At 38.1% G+C, this 17,985-nt stretch overlaps 1 protein-coding gene across 1 annotated transcript, besides 4 other annotated features; it reads right to left on the reverse strand.

Moving 5' to 3' along the window:
* Positions 737–1,116: an enhancer, noted in NCBI's record as "active region_21858". NCBI's record gives its function as "activates an Ori minimal core promoter by ATAC-STARR-seq in GM12878 lymphoblastoid cells {active_cell/tissue: GM12878}" and the evidence as "EXISTENCE:reporter gene assay evidence [ECO:0000049][PMID:35858748]".
* MAD2L1 (mitotic arrest deficient 2 like 1) lies at positions 6,661–17,886 on the reverse strand. Its single transcript, NM_002358.4, has 5 exons — positions 17,700–17,886; positions 16,710–16,856; positions 13,013–13,133; positions 11,912–12,015; positions 6,661–11,328 (listed from the first exon to the last, which is right to left on the reverse strand). The coding sequence occupies exons 1-5, from the start codon at positions 17,770–17,772 to the stop codon at positions 11,156–11,158; spliced, it is 618 nt and encodes a 205-aa protein (NP_002349.1). The 5' UTR covers positions 17,773–17,886; the 3' UTR covers positions 6,661–11,155.
* Positions 16,957–17,463: an enhancer, noted in NCBI's record as "H3K27ac hESC enhancer chr4:120987074-120987580 (GRCh37/hg19 assembly coordinates)". NCBI's record gives its function as "activates a minimal SCP1, AML or CMV promoter by ChIP-STARR-seq in primed H9 embryonic stem cells {active_cell/tissue: H9 hESC(primed)}" and the evidence as "EXISTENCE:reporter gene assay evidence [ECO:0000049][PMID:30033119]".
* Positions 17,464–17,969: an enhancer, noted in NCBI's record as "H3K27ac hESC enhancer chr4:120987581-120988086 (GRCh37/hg19 assembly coordinates)". NCBI's record gives its function as "activates a minimal SCP1, AML or CMV promoter by ChIP-STARR-seq in primed H9 embryonic stem cells {active_cell/tissue: H9 hESC(primed)}" and the evidence as "EXISTENCE:reporter gene assay evidence [ECO:0000049][PMID:30033119]".
* Positions 17,652–17,811: an enhancer, noted in NCBI's record as "active region_21859". NCBI's record gives its function as "activates an Ori minimal core promoter by ATAC-STARR-seq in GM12878 lymphoblastoid cells {active_cell/tissue: GM12878}" and the evidence as "EXISTENCE:reporter gene assay evidence [ECO:0000049][PMID:35858748]".

Consider the following 17,985-nt stretch of genomic DNA (forward strand, 5'->3'; position numbering starts at 1 on the left):
TGGTTTTGAACCCCTGATCATTACTCACTACCTATGTGACACTGGGAAAACCAGTTATACTATTAAAGCCTCCATGTCCTCATCTGCAAGACAGAGATGATGATAAGTTACCTCATAGGGTTGTTATGAATTTTAAATAATACCATAGAAAACTTTCTATGGTACCCAACATAGCAATCTCTCAGCTAATGTCAATTATGCTTATGGGAAGACTTTACATTTCAAAATAGCAAGCAATATTACAGATATTCTTCCATGACCAAAGGGAAGGCAGAGAGAAAAGGTAGTAAAGTCAATCGAGCAACTACAGGTGGCCAAGCTCTTTGCCAGGTAGTTCATGTACATCATTTGCATTTCCTCGAAGTAGCCTTATGAGATAAGAATTTTCATTTTTACAGATGGAGAAACTGAGGCTCCATCAGTTAAGTAACCAAGAGCCACATACCGAACAATTCAGAGAGTCCAGTGTGTCTGATTCCAAAGTCACATGGTGTTTCCACAACGAAACATTGTTTCCTCCCAGATGTGTGTTGGCTCGGGGGGCAGGACTATATTTTAAAGCACATCGCATTTAGGCAGGCTCCTAAATTATTTAGCTGGCATGTACATGCGAATATCGTCATCATCCTTCAGCGTTTGTATTCGGTGCTCATACTCCACTCAATCTCTCCTCCCCAAAATGGCTGGTTCTGGAACCCCTAAGCACTTGGCAGCATGTTACCAACTCTCAGACAGGAAGTTTTCATTCTCTTCCACAGTTGATAGTCGATGCCTGAGACTTTAAGGAGCCACACCGCGGGCTTGAGAGACGCTGGGAGTCGCAGTCAGGACTGCGAAAGAACTCAAGTGATGATTCACCTCCTGAGGTCTACTTGCTCACATCTCTATGGCAGATACCGGGCTGCGAATTGTGGCTCCCTTTTGACTAAACCTTTTCACTCCCTGCTTAGCCTGGTCTCTATCCTGGGTCACTGCCACTGTGAGTAGTTTCGCTTCTAATTCTGGCCATCTGGACCTCTACTTCCCAGTTCCTGATTTTTGCCTCCACAAAGTGAAGGATGCCCAGGCCCTGAGAGCAAGCACGTACTCCACTGCCCTTTGCTGCCCTCTGCTGACCATAACTGGAAATGATGGTTACTCTTTCAGGCCCTGTCTCAAGGCAGGTACTACAGTGAGAAGAACGAAGCCTGGAACACAAAATTTTGAGGGTGAGCCCCCAAACTAACTAAATTAGATAAATAATATTTTAATGCAATAGTTTTAAAAGTCAAAATAACTGTAAAAAATACATGATGAACAAAATATGTAAATGTACCCTAAATCATACTCCTAGCTTCTGTGTACACAAGCCATGGCATCTGTCTTTTTATTAAAGGGAAAGTCCTAGTATCACAGTAGAAAACCATGCTACCAGTATTGATCACCTTTTTTCCATCATTCACATAGATTTTTAAAACTCACAAAATTTAGAAGAAATAAACAGCAAAAATGAGAACGTCCAAGTGGAGCAGATATACTAGGTGACTCCTGAAGAAAGTAGGTAATTAAGAGAACAGAAGAAAAATTGATCTTTCAACAAATATTAACATCTTCATAGTTAAGAAGCAAATGAATGGGTGGCTAGAATCAAGCACAGTAAAAAATGTTTATGTTTTATGTTTAATTTCTTGGATATTAAAGATATAGGCTAAATGAATAATTTCATAAGAAGGCTTGAAGATTGAGTTTATGGACTCCTTTTCTATCTTGTCACTTGGAACATTCATCGTTCAGTATTAATGAACTAGATTACATTTTCTCCCCTTAATAGGTAGACTCATGCTATTTGATCAATCAATAAGGGGTAATTCAATAATCAGGATAATGAAAATGCTATTTCAATTTGTAGAGTCAACAAATCAACGAAACTGGAAGACAATAATAACTATAAAAGAGAATCTAACTAGTATTAAAATTGATAATGGAAAAAACACAAAAGTCTGAATGTTAAGGTAGCAGAGAGATGTGGCCAGCAATGTCAGACACAAATTCTTGTACCTTCTATAGCAAGGAATCAACATACTAAAATTGATGTAACAAAATATAGAGCTTGAACATATTCTTTAAAATTATAAAGATAACCACCAGAAGAAAATAATATGACTAGAAAAACTCAGGAGTAGATGGATAAAGAAATACGAACTAAGTTTCTCATCTTTCAATAGATGTGACCTAAAGTTGAAAAACAACAACAAAAAAAATAGTAATATTAACATATGCTTAAAGGTATGGTGATAACCACTAACAGAACAAAACATGTTTGAAAATAAGGAGCTAGATTAGACGTGGGGAGTGGGGGAATGAAGACAGGTGGATAATTTACTCTTCACTTGGTACCATTCTGTACTGTTTGATTTTATTAACTTATGAGCATATTAATTTTACACTATAAAAGTTAAAAAAATGAAAACAAAACTTTCTGCAGCTGCAGCTCTTGGCACTATTTCTTTCCCCAGCTGCAGTCACTCTCCTCATACTCATGGTTAGGTCCAATTGAGACAGGAAGAAATTAAAGGGCAACAGAAAAAGTACCTGCCCTGAAGTTCAGGGTTTCTGGGGTCTTCTTTCAATTTACTGTGTTCTGTCTTTACAGGGGCCTAATTCTTTGGAATACTAACTTTTGACTATTTCAGTCCATCAGATCTAGAATCTCCTTAAAGCTTTGCTAAACTTTGACATCATTCTCTTATTTCTTGAGAAGAGTAAGCTTGACTCCCTGGCTCTTTCTGTGATCCTTGAGTTTTAACTTCTTTTTTTTTTTTTTTTAATTTTGACTATGGTTAACTATTGGTCAGCTGGGACCAACCTGACCTGCCCAGGTAGGAATGAAAAGCATATGGAATAGTGGTGACAATTACTATTATCTGAATAAATACAATATGATATATTATTAAGTTAAAATAGTGCTAAGGGAGTAGAGTGATGGTCACTACTCCATTCCTCATGTTTCCACAAAGGAGAGACTTCACGCTCCTAGAGAGAACGCACCTGAAGATATTTGGGAATAGAGGTTTAATCTAGACTAATCACAGTCTTGCACTGAAGTGCTAAAAGCATGAAATGCAAGACATGAAGAAATCAAAACATCTAAATTTTCTAAGAAGGAATAATGTCTCAAATGTCATTCACTGAGAAAGTAGGTAATATACATGGGGAGTTTGCCAGAAGCATTGCCACTACACCTACCACCACCACCACCACACACACACATACACACACACACACTAAACATGTGGAAGCATAATTGTTGATGGGCAGTTTCTGCTCAGTGTATATAGATTTACAGCCTGTGAACTCTTGACACTGGCACCGCTGGCTGGCCCTCCCTGGAACAGAAACCCAGCTGTTTTCAGGTCCTTCTGTCTACAACACAGGTACCATTAAGTTATCTGCCATGCTCTTTGGGTGGCGACAACCGTGTCAAAAAAGATTACACCATTCACTTAATTTGGGGACCATAATTTTGCTTGTAATAACTTACATAGTGGAGCCACAGTTTCTTTTGTGATTAGTTACCCCTTGGAGAGCTGAATTACTTAGAAATTTGAATTAATTTTGAAAAGACTGAAGAAGCTGTAACCATTCCTATGAAAGACGGCCCAGGTTATAGCTGAACTTATAGGAACCCAGAGATCAGTGTAAGACCCTCTGGCTGAGAATGAGCCAATTGTATAGAATTGGGAATGAAGGAATTTGACCTTAATTTCTATGGGCTTTTCATTTGCAAGGGAATTTAGTCTGGAGGGTTAAAAAATGAGAAGAGTTTCATATTGTTCAACTTTAGAATATTTTTATGTTGTTGATCTGGTCTTGGCATTCATGAATACATTCATGAATGTATACATGAATATAAAATGAATACATTCATTAATTCTGGACAACATGACTGAGCATAATCAGTAATAGGAAATAGAATGGGGAATACATTTTCTGCTTAGGGTGCTGCATGCAGTTCTGTCTGACTCATGTTGCTAGAGACTTTTGTTGGCAAAAAGCGAAATGCCCATTGGCAGCTCTGGAGGGAATTAGTGTGGAAAGAAGGAGGGTTTAGGAAAGTGAGAACATGACGGCCCTGTGAGCAAGCAACTTCCCTGCTGAGAGGAACAGCCCACCCTGGCTTACTTCCAAGTTGCTTAAGTCCAGTGGGTTATGACATTGTTTCCCAGCCTTCCTTCATATGTGGCCTTCGTGTCTGCATATCGCTCACACTAATACTGATATAATATTTTTCCTTAAATATTGTGTATACTTTTAAAATCTTTCGCTCAATTTTTTACTCATGATAAACAATGTTACATATTTTTCTGATTACAACATATATATTACTAAAACTTTTTAAAAAAATGCCTGTCATCATGCTACCTAAAATCAACTTACATAATGCCAGTGGAACACACACTGTAATATACCAAGAGATGAAAAAGCTGGCAAATAGCAGGAGGGATGCTTGTTACTCCACTCTTAGGGTTTCTGTTCCAATCCTGATGACAGAAAACAGCACTGGAGTAACGTTCTGGGGCCCTCTCTCCACTTTTTCTCTCAGCCCATCCCAAGCAGCAAAGAAGAAATTTTTCCATGGCTTGTAGCAGCTCGAGTACAGTGCTTTCTAATTTTGCCCTTGGCAATTCAGCATGCAAGGCTTCCTCCTAGGTTGGAGTTGGGCTGGAGAAGGAAGAATGAAGTTGTCTGGCCCTTCCACCTGTGACTACACAGGCTGCTTGGTTCACTTAAGAAGGAGTAGCAAACCCTATTTCTGACTTAAGTGTAAGGCTCATTCTCCAATCCAGCTTTACTATAGAGTGCTGTAATTTGGGTAATAATACATATAATAAATTTCAATCTTCTTCTGTTTCCTGCATCTATGTCTCAAGTTGGTTAAAACTCACAAAGTAGAAGGATCAGGATTACATGTTAAACACAAATTCCAACACACCTTTGGTTACAAAAACAAGTGAAAGAATTAGAGAAGAAATGTTGCTGGAAAGAAAATGAATGCTCCTGTTTTAAAGCAAAATGCCCTGTGTGAACATTTAATGGCAGTATTATGAAAAGTTAATGCAATATTCAAATATTTTGACTACAAGTTCTTACTTCCTCAATTTGGAGTGAGATTCACACGGTATTCTAGTCTTTTTGTAGCTAAGTCTGGAGCAGGAGAACCCTCCTCTGTCCCCTAGACTCTGAGAGGAAACAAGATATAATAAAAGGATTTGGTTCCTATTGGTTTGGGAATTGGGCCAGCACATGGATTCTGGATGTTTGCAGTTGGGCAAATTACTTAACCTTCCTGAATCTTAGTTCTTAAATCTATAAAGTGGGGATATCAATTCTCACAGGGTTGTTGCAAGGATTGAGATAATGCATGTAATGAATGAATTTGAAGACTGATCCCTTCCCTGCCCACAAACTGAGCTAAAGATGTTCTATAAAGGATTCAGACTCCCCAGTGTTTCTTCATGGTTTTGCTTTATGGGTCTCCTCTGGGGCGATGGAGGCATCAGCGGAGTTGTAGAATTTCCATTTTGGATGCAGTCCTTCTCTCCCCACCCTCTTCTCCCTCACAGCCCTAAATTGAGGTTTGGGGGCTGTTCCTTGCTCCAGAGGACTCCTCATTTGGAACTCAGACTTAATTTCCTTTATCTCATGGCTCTCCCCATGTCCCATCATCAGTTTCTAAGACCACAGCTTGTGGCCCAAGTCTTCCATTTCCCCACTAACCCCAACCTCCATTCATTTAGGAGTCAGCTGAACAGATGTAAAGCACTTCAGTGGTGCCTGGCATACAGTAGATGATCAATACCCATGAATTTCCTTTCCTAGACTTGGAGGCTGTAAGCTTTACAGCCTGTTTTTAAAGAGCTGTACTGACTCTTATGAGTGTGAACACAGTGATCCAATAACTGCATGTTAGATATGAAATATTTTGCACATCACAGACCCAATCTTTAAAACCACTAGCATCTGTACTTGGTCAGTGAGACTGCCATTTCAGAAAGAAATTCATATCCATGTCTAGGCATCCACTAGATATGTCCATATCTAGAAAGTTTTTTAAAGTGTTTGGACTCTTTCCCTTGCAAGGAAATGGACTATGGGTGGTCCAGCTTATATTTGGGATGCCTTTTTCCACACAGATAAAATTCCAAGAAAATAAGATTTTGATCTCATGTAAGTTCCTTTGTGCAAACAAGCTTGCATAGCAAAATGGTGCAGATAAATGTAGATGAAATGGGCTTTGTACAAGTAAATGTAACTATATTATGTTTCTCTGGTATAAAAATAGATCACATGGTGGAGGACAAAAATAGGTGACATGGTAACATAAACCAACTTGTGTAATCAGAGGGTCAACTCTGACATTTTTCACTCTAGGCCTTTTCTAATAGTCTTGTTGCTAGGGCTACAATGTTTTTGCCAGATTGGAACAGAATTGTCAACTCTAATGAAGATTAAGTAGCTTGCCCAACTACGTTTGTTTTTTTTTTTTTTTTTAGCCTCAGTGAATACTGCTGGCTTTAAAAGTCATAATTATGAAGAATGGAAATATCTCTAAAAGATCTATTTTTAAAAATATATAACTAATAAAATTTAAAATTGAGTAGACAGTTTCCATTTCACAGCTATTCCAATATAAACTTTTATCAGTCACATTGAACAAAATAACTAGAAATATTTCATACATTTAAAAAAAGAATAAGAAATTATTTACAAGTTAAGCCGCAAACAATTCACCAAAAACTGAGTAATTAAGGTTACTTAACAAACAATTCTTCTGATTAGTTGGAAAATTGTTTCATTACTGTTCACAAATTCATACCTGATTTACTCTGTAGACAATATAGATTAGGCATAGGATAAAATCCTCTGTATTTGGTTCCTCCCAATCATTGGTCAAAGTCATCTGACAACAGACTATCTGAGGAAAGTGTAAATACAAAGTCACCCAATAAAACATGAATAAGTTTTGCAAAGCACAGTAAAGGAAAACCAGTTTGTTCTGAACACTTTATTGCTAAAAGGATGTAAAGGGTAAGAGGAAAAAGGTGACGAAACACTCCTTTTGATATGCTTGTTGGGGAGTCAGGATGAACTTCCTTGGCTAGGGATAGAAGGAAGAGATCACCTAAACTTCAAAAACCACAATACAATTTGCATACTTCCTTGGCCAGGGATAGGAGAGACCACTAAACTTCAAAAACCACGACACAATTTGCATGCCCATTGACCCCCAGTTTTACTTGTGCACAAAAGCATGAGAATTAAATAAAAATTCATGTGAAGTGACTAGTAAATAATAAATGCTAAGTGTTTATTCCCCTAATGTATTTATATATTTGTTGCCAGGAATTCCAATGCTGAGTAACCTTGCTTTTCCAATAAGCTTACAGCCTTTAGAACCAAAAGAAAGTCATCTTAATTTGAATATTACAGCATTAGTGACATCTGGTGGAAAATATAAGAGTTACAAAGTAGCATTACATAGCTATTCTGATCTTTCATGTAAATTTTAGATAAATTTTACATACTAAATGAAAACAAGATGAAGAAATGGTCTATGAAGTTATCTACCTTATTGTGCTAATAATCTTTGAATCTATATGCTAAAATATATAGGAAGTCAGTATAATTAGCATTATACTAATAAAAACATTTTTCAGCATGCATGTCTATATAGTGAAAAAATGATTAAAAATAGGCATGGGCTCTTTATCCTATTGTGAGTCTCATAAAAAGGGTCTCTTTTTTAAAGGAGAGCCCATACCTCTCTTTTTATGGCATCACATGCCAAAGAACCTCCCTTAACAAGTTTTCAGATCAAATTGTGAACTGTGGGGTGTGTTAGGAAGTATGTCAAGAAAATAGCTGGTTGTGCTTCAGAGAATATGGAATTTAGGTATATTTGGGAGAGACATTCTGTTTGAGATACTATGGATGGAGGCAACAAACGATGTTTTACAAGTGAGCTTTAAATATTACGGTATCAAATGCTCTGAACTAGGGAGGGGTTCAAGTATTTGTGACCAAAAGAGCAAACTGTGATCTGTTACAGGACTGGTAAGCTACAACCCTGGGGCCGAAGCAAACAGCCATGTTTTTTTCTTATTGGAACACACTCACGCTCATTCATTTATGTATTGTCTATAGCTGCTTTCAGCCTCGAGTAGGTGCAAGAGACCATATGCCTTCAAAAGCAGAACTATTTACTACCTGGCCATTTACAGAAAGTTTGCCAACCTCTAGTCCATTAGATAACTGTCATCAAACTTCTCGGTGCCATTCCCACCACCTCCATGGGAGGAGTATACTTCCTGGTCCCATTAAAGTTAGGCTTGACCTTCACTTGCTTTGGTCAGTGTGAAAAAGCTGGCCTTCAGAGTCCTGACTAACCAATGTCCCTCCAACAGAATGAGAAAGGTGCAGCAAAAGCCAACCAATACATGAGACTGTTATACCTCTGCACAAGCATTCTCACAGAGGTTTGACTTCTCTGATTGATGACACTGGGAAAAGGATCCTGAAAGCCAGATACAGTTCAGTTCCTCCTGGGCTCTACTTCAGACCTTGATGGGCTTAACCTCTGTTCATCCTCTACATATGGTAAGCAACACTGAGCCAGAGTCCAGGCCAGGCCTAGAGGCCTATCATGCTGTCTTAGAACCTTCTCTTTAACATGGTGTAGAAACCACTCACAAGTCTTTCAGCTGTTGATTTAAACATCATCCTCCTGAGGTAAGCCTCAAGGTCTAGAAAGAGGATGGGACAGTCCACTTGGAGCTACAGGGCAAAGCTTTTCCAGTATAGCTTCACCTCAATAAAACTCATAGTTTGGCTCCCACTCAGCTCCAAAATGTGTATTTCTTTTTTATTTATTATTTTTTGAGATGGAGCCTTGCTCTGTCGCCCAGGCTAGAGTACAGTGGCACGGTCTTGGCTCACCGCAACCTCCACCTCATGGGTTCAAGCGATTTCTCCTGCCTCAGCCTCCCAAGTAGCTGAGATGCGCCCGCCACCACGCCCAGCTAATTTTTATATTTTTAGTAGAGACGGGGTTTGACCATCTTGGCCAGGCTGGTCTCAAACTCCTGATCTCGTGATCCACCTGCCTCGGCCTCCCAAAGTGCTGGGATTACAGGCGCGAGCCACTGCGCCCAGCCCAAAATGTGTATTTCTTAATTGATTATATAATCTGTAAGGGGTAAAATGACTCATCATGACTAGCTCTCCAGAAACCTCAGAGTAAATAGTAGCATGCAAATGATACAAAAATCTAAGAATTTAATCCTGTTAATATTGGTAGCTGAGTTGAAATGACCAGAGTATACACACAACCTTTAAAAATGTGATTTCAGCCGGGCGCAGTGGCTCACGCCTGTAATCCCAATGCTTTGTGAGGTCAAGGCGGGCAGATCATGAGGTCAGGAGTTCAAGACTAGCCTGGCCAACATGGTGAAACCCTCTCTCTACTAAAAATATAAAAATTAGCCAGGTGTGGTGGCACGTGCCTGTAATCCCAGCTACTCAGGAGGCTGAGACGGAAGAATGGCTGGAATCCGGGAGGCAGAGGCTGTAGTGAGCTGAGCTGCGTCACTGTACTCCAGCCTGGGCGACAGAATAAGACTCCATCTTGGGGGGGAAAAGTGATTTCGCAGAATTTAGTCTGACTTCTCAAATAGTTAAAATACAAATGAAGCATTTAATTGCCACTTTTCTTGAAATCATCTAGGTTGGTAACACCAGTGGTCCACTTATTCCATAAAGATATGAAGAGTCTACAAATTTGTCACTGAGAACCCAGAAACTGCCACTGATCCACAGTATTTGCTCAATATGTAATTTCTGAATGAACAGATTCAGACTATGTGCAATTACTTAAAAATAGTGAAGGTTAAATAAGTTAATACACATAAAGAACTTAGTGTCTAATAATAAACATTAATAAACTGAATTTTTACAAAATGAGGTCAGATTTAGATTAGAGATTAGAGAAGACTTTACAAATCTGCCTTAAACTGACCTTGGAAAAACAGGTGAGAACTGGATAGAAAGCATGTACCAGATGAGGGTATTAATGAAAGCACAGGAATAAGCATAGTATTTAAGTATATAAGGAAAAGTAGGCTGACAATAAGGCTAAGAGTATAGTAAAGTACTAAAATCAACACTTGTTCAACTGGAATTGTTGGACTAATTCCAAAGGACATTTATCTTTTCACAATGATGAAGTAATAGCCTTAAGTCTATTGCTATGAGATGAACAGGATGTGATCAAAGTTTATCCATTAGATTGAAGACACCTCAAGACTCACTCAACTTTGGACCCTTAAGTTCTATAACTTCGTAGGAACAAGAATTCATTAGCTATGCTGAATCAATTCTAATTACCATTTAACTATATCAACACCAAACCAGTATCAAAATGTTTTAAGACAAATTTAAAACAAACTTAACTTTATTTCCTCACTTTCACTTAAAACTTGATTTTATAAAACACATGAAAAAACATTTTTAAGAGTTCTGTATCACAGAACATTAAACAGTACAAATATCCATTGCTTCATAGGTTCAAGTTACATAAATTAAAGTCAAATAATTGGAAACTGATTCAATAGGGAAAACTATACATGAAATGAAGGTCAAAAGGAGCTATACAGCAATATTTCATTGTTTATAGATTATGAGTTACTTTCAGGACCTTAACAAAGATTCTGAATATTTAGACTTCCTTTGTTGTATTTTATACTTAAATATCTCCCTACCTATACTGAGTCAAACTACTTGACCAAAACATCTGATTTAGGAAAGCATCTAGCTTTATAGCACAAGTTTTTCCATCTACAGTTACTATCTTCAAAGGAATATACATCACAATGTTGACAAAAAAACCTCCTGGTTCCTTTTGAACAATGTGCAATAAATTCATGATGTTAACTCCATGGTAAGTCAAATAGGTACCAAAAAAATAAAAGGAACAATTACACACAGTTCAGTAAGTATCATTTTGGTTTTCTCCATGTAAAAATTAACCAATGAAATAAAACATATCAACTATAGATGACTTGATTTCAGGAAAACCACATTTCAAAATTACAATTACATTATTTTCCTCATGTCATCCTCAGTCATTGACAGGAATTTTGTAGGCCACCATGCTATTTACTTTGTGGATTGTAGTAGTAAATGAACGAAGGCGGACTTCCTCAGAATTGGTAATAAACTGTGGTCCCGACTCTTCCCATTTTTCAGGTACAACCAAATCTTTGTCTGTATAAATCAGCAGATCAAATGAACCTAAATTGGGGATAAGATCATTGAAGTATATTATTTTCTAAAAGTAAAACTAATCTTGCTGCCTCTCTTCTATTTTGAACCACTCACTGCTGGAAAAGGTCATTTGGCTTGGTCTCCAATCACTAGTTAATTTATTTTGCTCAATGAACATTTATTTCAGTAAAGAAAATATTGTATCTAACTTCCGTGCAATTTAGTGATTGTGTTCAAGTAACCCTTATCTTATTTAATAATGGTCCCAAAGCACAAGAATAGTGATGCCAGCATATTGTTATAATTGTTCCAGTTTATTATTAACTCTTACTATGCTTAATTTACATATTAAATTTTATCATAGGTATGTATGCATAAGAAAAAAACATTATATAGGGTTCATACTATCCATGGTTTCAGGTATTCACTGTGGGTCTCCCTGTGGAAAGGGAGACTACGATACATTACTTTTGCATGATAATGTTTTTCCTTCAATTTATATTACATAAATCTGATAAATAAGACAAAATTTAATAAAGGGGTGATTACGGCAGTAGCTTAGTCTTTTTGCCAATCAATTTAATTCAACAAGAAGTTGTATAATACTTACAAGAAACTTCCAACAGTGGCAGAAATGTCACCGTAGCTGTGATCTGTCTGATCACTGAACGGATTTCATCCTGGATAGCTTTCTGAGACTTTTCTCTGGGTGCACTGTCAAAAAAAAATCAAATCAATTAATTCATTTCAGGTCTTAACAAATTATTTCAAACATAGTGGTTAGATTATTTATCTGATTAAATGCTCTCAACATCAAATAAGCAGGGCTTATTTGAGAAAGGAGGTTTGTAAAAAATGTGAGTGAAAGTATCCTTCAGACCTACAACCTAGTAGGCACAACATTCATCCTTATTACTTCATTTATCCTGCCAGTCATCTTTTAGAGCTGGTCTTAGTGTCAGGTCATTTAGTATCAGATGACTAGAAAATTTGCCAATCACTTCAAGTTCAGGAAACTTCAGCATCTCTTGAAATAAAAATAAGTGATATCTAAAATATGTATTGGTATAATCATTTCAGCATTTTTAGTAATGCCTAAATGTCTAATTTCCTATTTTCTCAAATAAAACATTAAATTGTATATCAAATTATTTTATAAGCTAAAAATTTCCTAAAATACACCAAAGCCTTCAGAAGCAAACTACATTTCACTATAAGAAATGGTTCTCAGTTTATAGAAGAGCATGCCTAGGACAATGCATTTCTCTTCCAGGGAGTCTGGAACCTTCAGAAATTTATGAAGTGTCTTAGGAAGTAGATGGCATTAAAGGAAGTACAGCAGAGCTACATCTTAAATTGTGTGAGTCTAATATCATTCCTTATAGTTAAAAATATCTTAGAACAATTATTAAATGGTTCATCTAGTATATCATGTGTAGTTTTGTATATATCACCATAAATACTGTTTGAAAACTACTGATTTAGACTAAAGGCAATTATGTTAAAATTATATTATATATACAAATCAATGATATGCTAAACTGAGCACAATTCTTTTCCATAGGTGACTGAGGATATCTTAGAAAATATAAATTAGAAACAAACTATATTTTATATAAAACTAGTTCAATACAATTAGAACTCAATTAGTAATAAAAACAAGTTTTGAAAAAAAATATATCAAAGTAGAAATAATGTAATTCCTATTTACCTGTCATCTTTTGCAGTCTTGTCACACTCAATATCAAACTGCCATCTTTCCAGGACCTCACCACTTTCAATATTTGAGATAACTACAACCAGTTTCTGAACTGAACACTTGTATAACCAATCTGCAACATATAAAAAGGAAGGCATCTTTCTTGGTCCACTGCATCATAAAGTAGCTCTCTTCTCGGGTCCCACTCCCTATCCTCAGCAAATTCCTACCACTGCTATCTGGGACCTCCTCCTATGTGCAAGAAAATTTGCACCATCAATAATCTAACTTCTGTTTTCAAATTCTCAGTATCTGTATCAGGTACAGTAATTGGTGCTGAGGACAGAATACTGAACATGTGGTAGTTTCATCCTAATCCAACATAAAAGCATAGGAGATGGGCATTAATCTACTCATCACACCAATAAATGAGAAATTATCATTGTAATGGCTGCTATGAAAGAAAGATGTAAGATGCAATGAGAGCATAAAAAAAGGAAAATTTGAGCCACTCAGGGAGGTCAGAAAAGGTCTGAGTTTAGCTCTAGGGATAAACAGCATTAAATATGCAAAAGGATACGAAAGAAGATACAGGCCTCAAATACTGCCAAGGGAAGAGCATATAGAGGGCTGGAAGCAGCCCACTACAAGTGCAATCAAGAAACAAACAAACAAAATAAAACAAAGTAATCCTTGCAAGATTAACAGGAGCCAGACCATGCAAAGCCTGGTGGATCAAATTAAAAAAATATATACTTCAAGACCAGGGAAGTCATTACTGTGTGTGAACAGGATGTAAAGCAATTAGACTTGTATTTCAAAACTATCATTCTAGCCGTGATACGGAAAGTGGACTGGAGATGTTAAAGAGGGGATCTAGAGACACTAGTTAGTCAATCAGTAATTCAAGCAAGAGTTAATGAAAGCTTGTAGGAGGATAAACTGGTAGATATGGAGCAATAGGTAGATTTAAGAGATTTCATGGTTAAAACGTATTGGGTTTAGTCACGATAGTAAGGAAGAAGCATGATTCAGGGACAGCTTCCAAGTTTCTTTTATTTCTGGCTGGACGGTTTAGTCATTCATTGAGAGAAAAAAAGAGAATTAAAGAGTATCAGTCTTGGAGATGATCCTAAATTTAGTTTTTAGTATACTTGAGTGTACATTGTCTCTGGGATAGCTACATAAAGATATAGCTGCTGGATATATGAGTCTGGAGAAAGAGGCTTGGGATAGATGTAAGTTTGTGAGCTGACTACACAGAGGTTGTTAGTGAAGCTATACACAGGTCAGAGATCACCTATAGAGAAATTATAAACACAGAACGGGGGCTCAGATTGAGCCTTGAAGTAATCTTGGAAATTGAAACAGCATATTCAGGAGTCAGCGAAGTTTTTGTAAAGAAACAGAGTAATTACTAAATATTTTAGGCTTATTGGCCACCAAGATCTCTGTTGCTTATTTTTAAACAAACCTGTAAGTGTAAAAACACTCTTAGCTTGTGGGCAGTGCAAAAACAGGCCACTTGTTGGATGTGGCCTGTGGGCCTTGTGATCCCTGGCATTTATCAACAACTTTTTATTAGTTTCACTCTGAAAAGGAGACTGGGTGGTAATTTGCTCTTCCTTTAAAACTGGAGAGATGAAACCAATGGGGATAATTAAAATCAAAACACAGAAGCAGAAAATATAAGAGAGAACAGGATAAAGACCCTGAAAAAGGCTAGAGGAAATTACATTCAAAACAAAACAATTGGCCAGCAAAACAAAACATGAGCAGCCACTCATGCCTGTAATCCCAGCACTTTGGGAGGCAGAGGTGGGTGGATCACGAGGTCAGGAGTTCGACACCAGCCTGGCCAAGATGGTGAAACCCTGTCTCTAGTAAAAATATAAAAATTAGCCAGGCACGGTGGCAGGCGCTTATAATCTCAGCTACTCGGGAGGCTGTGGTGTGGGGGCAGAGGTTGCAGTGAGCGGAGATCACGCCACTGCACTCCAGCCTTGGTGCCAGAGTGAGACTCCAAACAAAAAACAAACCGAACAACTTGCCTCTAGGGAAGAGCAATTTTTCCACTTTAACTAAAATAAAAGGGACAAGTTAAATAGGAAGGTCTAGACACAAATAAGGTGAAATGTCATTAACGCAGTCTCAAAGGAGACAACCTAAAAACCATTGGCTTAGGCAATGCTTGCTTCTCCAGCAAATTAAGATAAAAACACACATCCATAGTTGTCTAGAGGTTCCAGGCCAAACGACCTGAGTACAGCCCTATGAATCACTATAGATGATTTATTCCTGACCCCCAATTTTGGATGCAACTCTGGGAGAGGTGGACACTCTTATCAGTGTCTTTCCTGTGTACACTTGAGAACAGAGGTCTATTCCCACACCAAAAGAGGTCTCATCTTGCTATTTTGACAATACCAATCTACTATAGCAGAAGTTCTCAACCAAGGGCAGTTTTGTCCCCTAGGGCACATCTGGCAATATAATACATGGAGGCATTTCTGGTTGTCAGAGCAAGGGGGTTTGTTACTGGCATTTGGTGAGTAAAGGCCATAGTTGTTGGTAAACATTCTATAACACACAGAAAAGCACCCACACCAAAGCAAAGAAAAGCACCCATACCAAAGAAATACCCAGGCCAAAATGTCAACAGGGCTATCTTCCCTTGCCTGTTAATTTGAGACCTGACATCCACAGGTTGTTGTGGGATTCCCCTCCTGTACACATAAATGGCAAGGCAATGTTAACAGTTTATCTAGAGGATAGTATAGCTTGAAAGAGAGTTACCAAGCTAAAAAAGTTCACATGGCCATCATTGGAAGGGCATATTAAAAATGGGTTAGTAAAAATGCAATAAAAACGGTAAAAAAGACACATTTCTGGTCAACAACAAAAGAAATAATTTCTAAATTAAAAAAAAAAGATGGCTGCTGTAGTACTTTTTAAAATTTTAGAAGATCAAATGGGAGAAACACTTGAACAATTAGAAATGAGAATCCTAAGTGGAGGGTAACACGAAAGAAAAACTAACAGGAATTCTAGAAAGGAAAAAGAAATCGATGAAGAACAAGTATTCACCCAACAGGTAATACATCAATGTCTTCAGCTAAAGAAAAACGAGTGTTCAGACAGAAAAGGCTTACTGAATCACTGGCAGAATTTTTGAAAACGACAAATAGAAATACGTGAAAAACAAACAAACAAAAAAACTGTGAGTGTTCTGTTATTTAGTAGCTAATCTTTTCTCTTTTTGAAGTTTAGTTCTCTGGTTGAATCCAATTTCCTTGATCTTAATGTAATGATAACATTAGACTACAGAAAATTAATTAGTTACAGAAAATTAATACATTATATTGAGAATATGTAGTGTATATTGTCTCAGATAGTGAACACCATTATAATTATGTAAAATTCCAACCTGTTCCATTTGGCCACATTTACTGCAAAAGCCACTTCTAAGGGAGTTGATGAAGACTATTTTTTTAGCCATATCAGATTTCTAACATCAAAATATTCAGCCCACTCACAATGTAGTGGGTGGGGGAAGAGTGTATTTCTTCCATTTTATATATTATTTTCTTCCTCTCAATTGAAAATATATTTGAGATGTCAGTACACTTCTATGTGCAGAGCGGAAAAATGACTGCTTAAGATGCTAGAAAATCTGCAAGACTCAAATTGTTTCCAATGATTAAAATACCTTTCAGTTGTTCCACCACATTATTTAGGTATTTTATGAGCTCAAGATCAGTAGTTACAAGCAAGGTGAGTCCGTATTTCTGCACTCGAGTAAAGGTTTCAGATGGATATATGCCACGCTGATATAAAATGCTGTTGATGCCGAATGCTGCAAGCAAAAGAAATGTTACAGAAAATTCATTATCCCTGCATAACTCTGGAAAATAAAATATATTTAGATGTTGCTATATTTTCATTAGGCTATACAGCTATAAATGACTGAACACACGTGTATCTTGCTGAAAGCAGAGTAGGTACAAAGTGGCATTAAAAATCCTTAAAAGTCTTGCTTCTAAGTAAAACAGATAATTGCTTTCACGTGGCAAAAAAAAAAAGCCAAAGTGTATCAACTTATTATTGCCAAATTTCACCTCATTGTAATCCAAGTCCAAATTCAGATTATGAGGCTAGAGGATGTCAAAATAGGCTGTTGCATTCGAGTTAGCAACTGACTGAATAGTCACTGTGCTCCAGACAAGCCTTTATCTTCCCCTTTCCCTCCCAAATCCTGCCAGGTTCCTTTAGAACGTGCAGCTGGCCTGTTCGAAAACAAGGGTTCCCAAAGTCTTGTCTACTGCCAGCCTCATGCCCAATAATCACTTTGAGTGGGAGGGTGAGGGTGCTCTCGCAGTTAAAAAAAAAAAAGAAAAACACACACATACGCATACACTGGGGCCCACCCCAGTCACACCGTGTCCTGTATCGGAAAGTAAGGGGTGGGAGGTGGGACGGATCTGCACTTAAAGGAAGAAACGCTCCGGAAGAGGCTACGCCGCGAGGTAGGCCCCAGCAGCACGCAGGCCTGCAGCTCCACGTTAGCAACGCGTCTGGAGGAAGCGCCTGCAGCCGCCTCTCCCCAGATTACTTCTCTGGTATCAGAGGCCGAGCTGTGGGCCTACTGAGCCGTCACGACTCCGTTCCCCCCGATATATTGGCCTGCGCGAGAACTTACAGAAGAACTCGGCCACGATTTCGGCGCTCCCGCGCAGGGTGATTCCCTGCTCCCGGGAGAGCTGCAGCGCCATGGCCAGGGACACAAACAAAAGCACGCGCTTCCACTCCGCGGACAGCAACCACAGCGGCTCCAACAGCACTTCCCCGCCAAGCGTTTCAAAAGTAACGACGCAGCACGTCGTCAGGTCCTTTGCGCAGGCGCGACGAGCCTTTAAGCCCAGCCCCACGCAGCGGGGACCTGCCCTTTCTCTCAGCCTTCCTGTGATGTCGCGGGAGCGGCCGGT

The sequence above is a fragment of the Homo sapiens genome, chromosome 4 (genome assembly GCF_000001405.40).
Source record: "Homo sapiens chromosome 4, GRCh38.p14 Primary Assembly".
In the NCBI taxonomy this organism is placed as follows: Eukaryota; Metazoa; Chordata; class Mammalia; order Primates; family Hominidae; genus Homo; species Homo sapiens.

Coding starts and splice junctions, on each gene's coding strand:
- MAD2L1 (NM_002358.4), bottom strand. CDS start 17,772: ATGGCGCTGCAGCTCTCCCGGGAGCAGGGAATCACCCTGCGCGGGAGC. Junction 13,134..16,709: donor TGTGGTGGAACAACTGAAAG/GTATTTTAATCA, acceptor TATATGTTGCAG/ATTGGTTATACAAGTGTTCA. Junction 11,329..11,911: donor GCCACTGTTGGAAGTTTCTT/GTAAGTATTATA, acceptor TCCCCAATTTAG/GTTCATTTGATCTGCTGATT.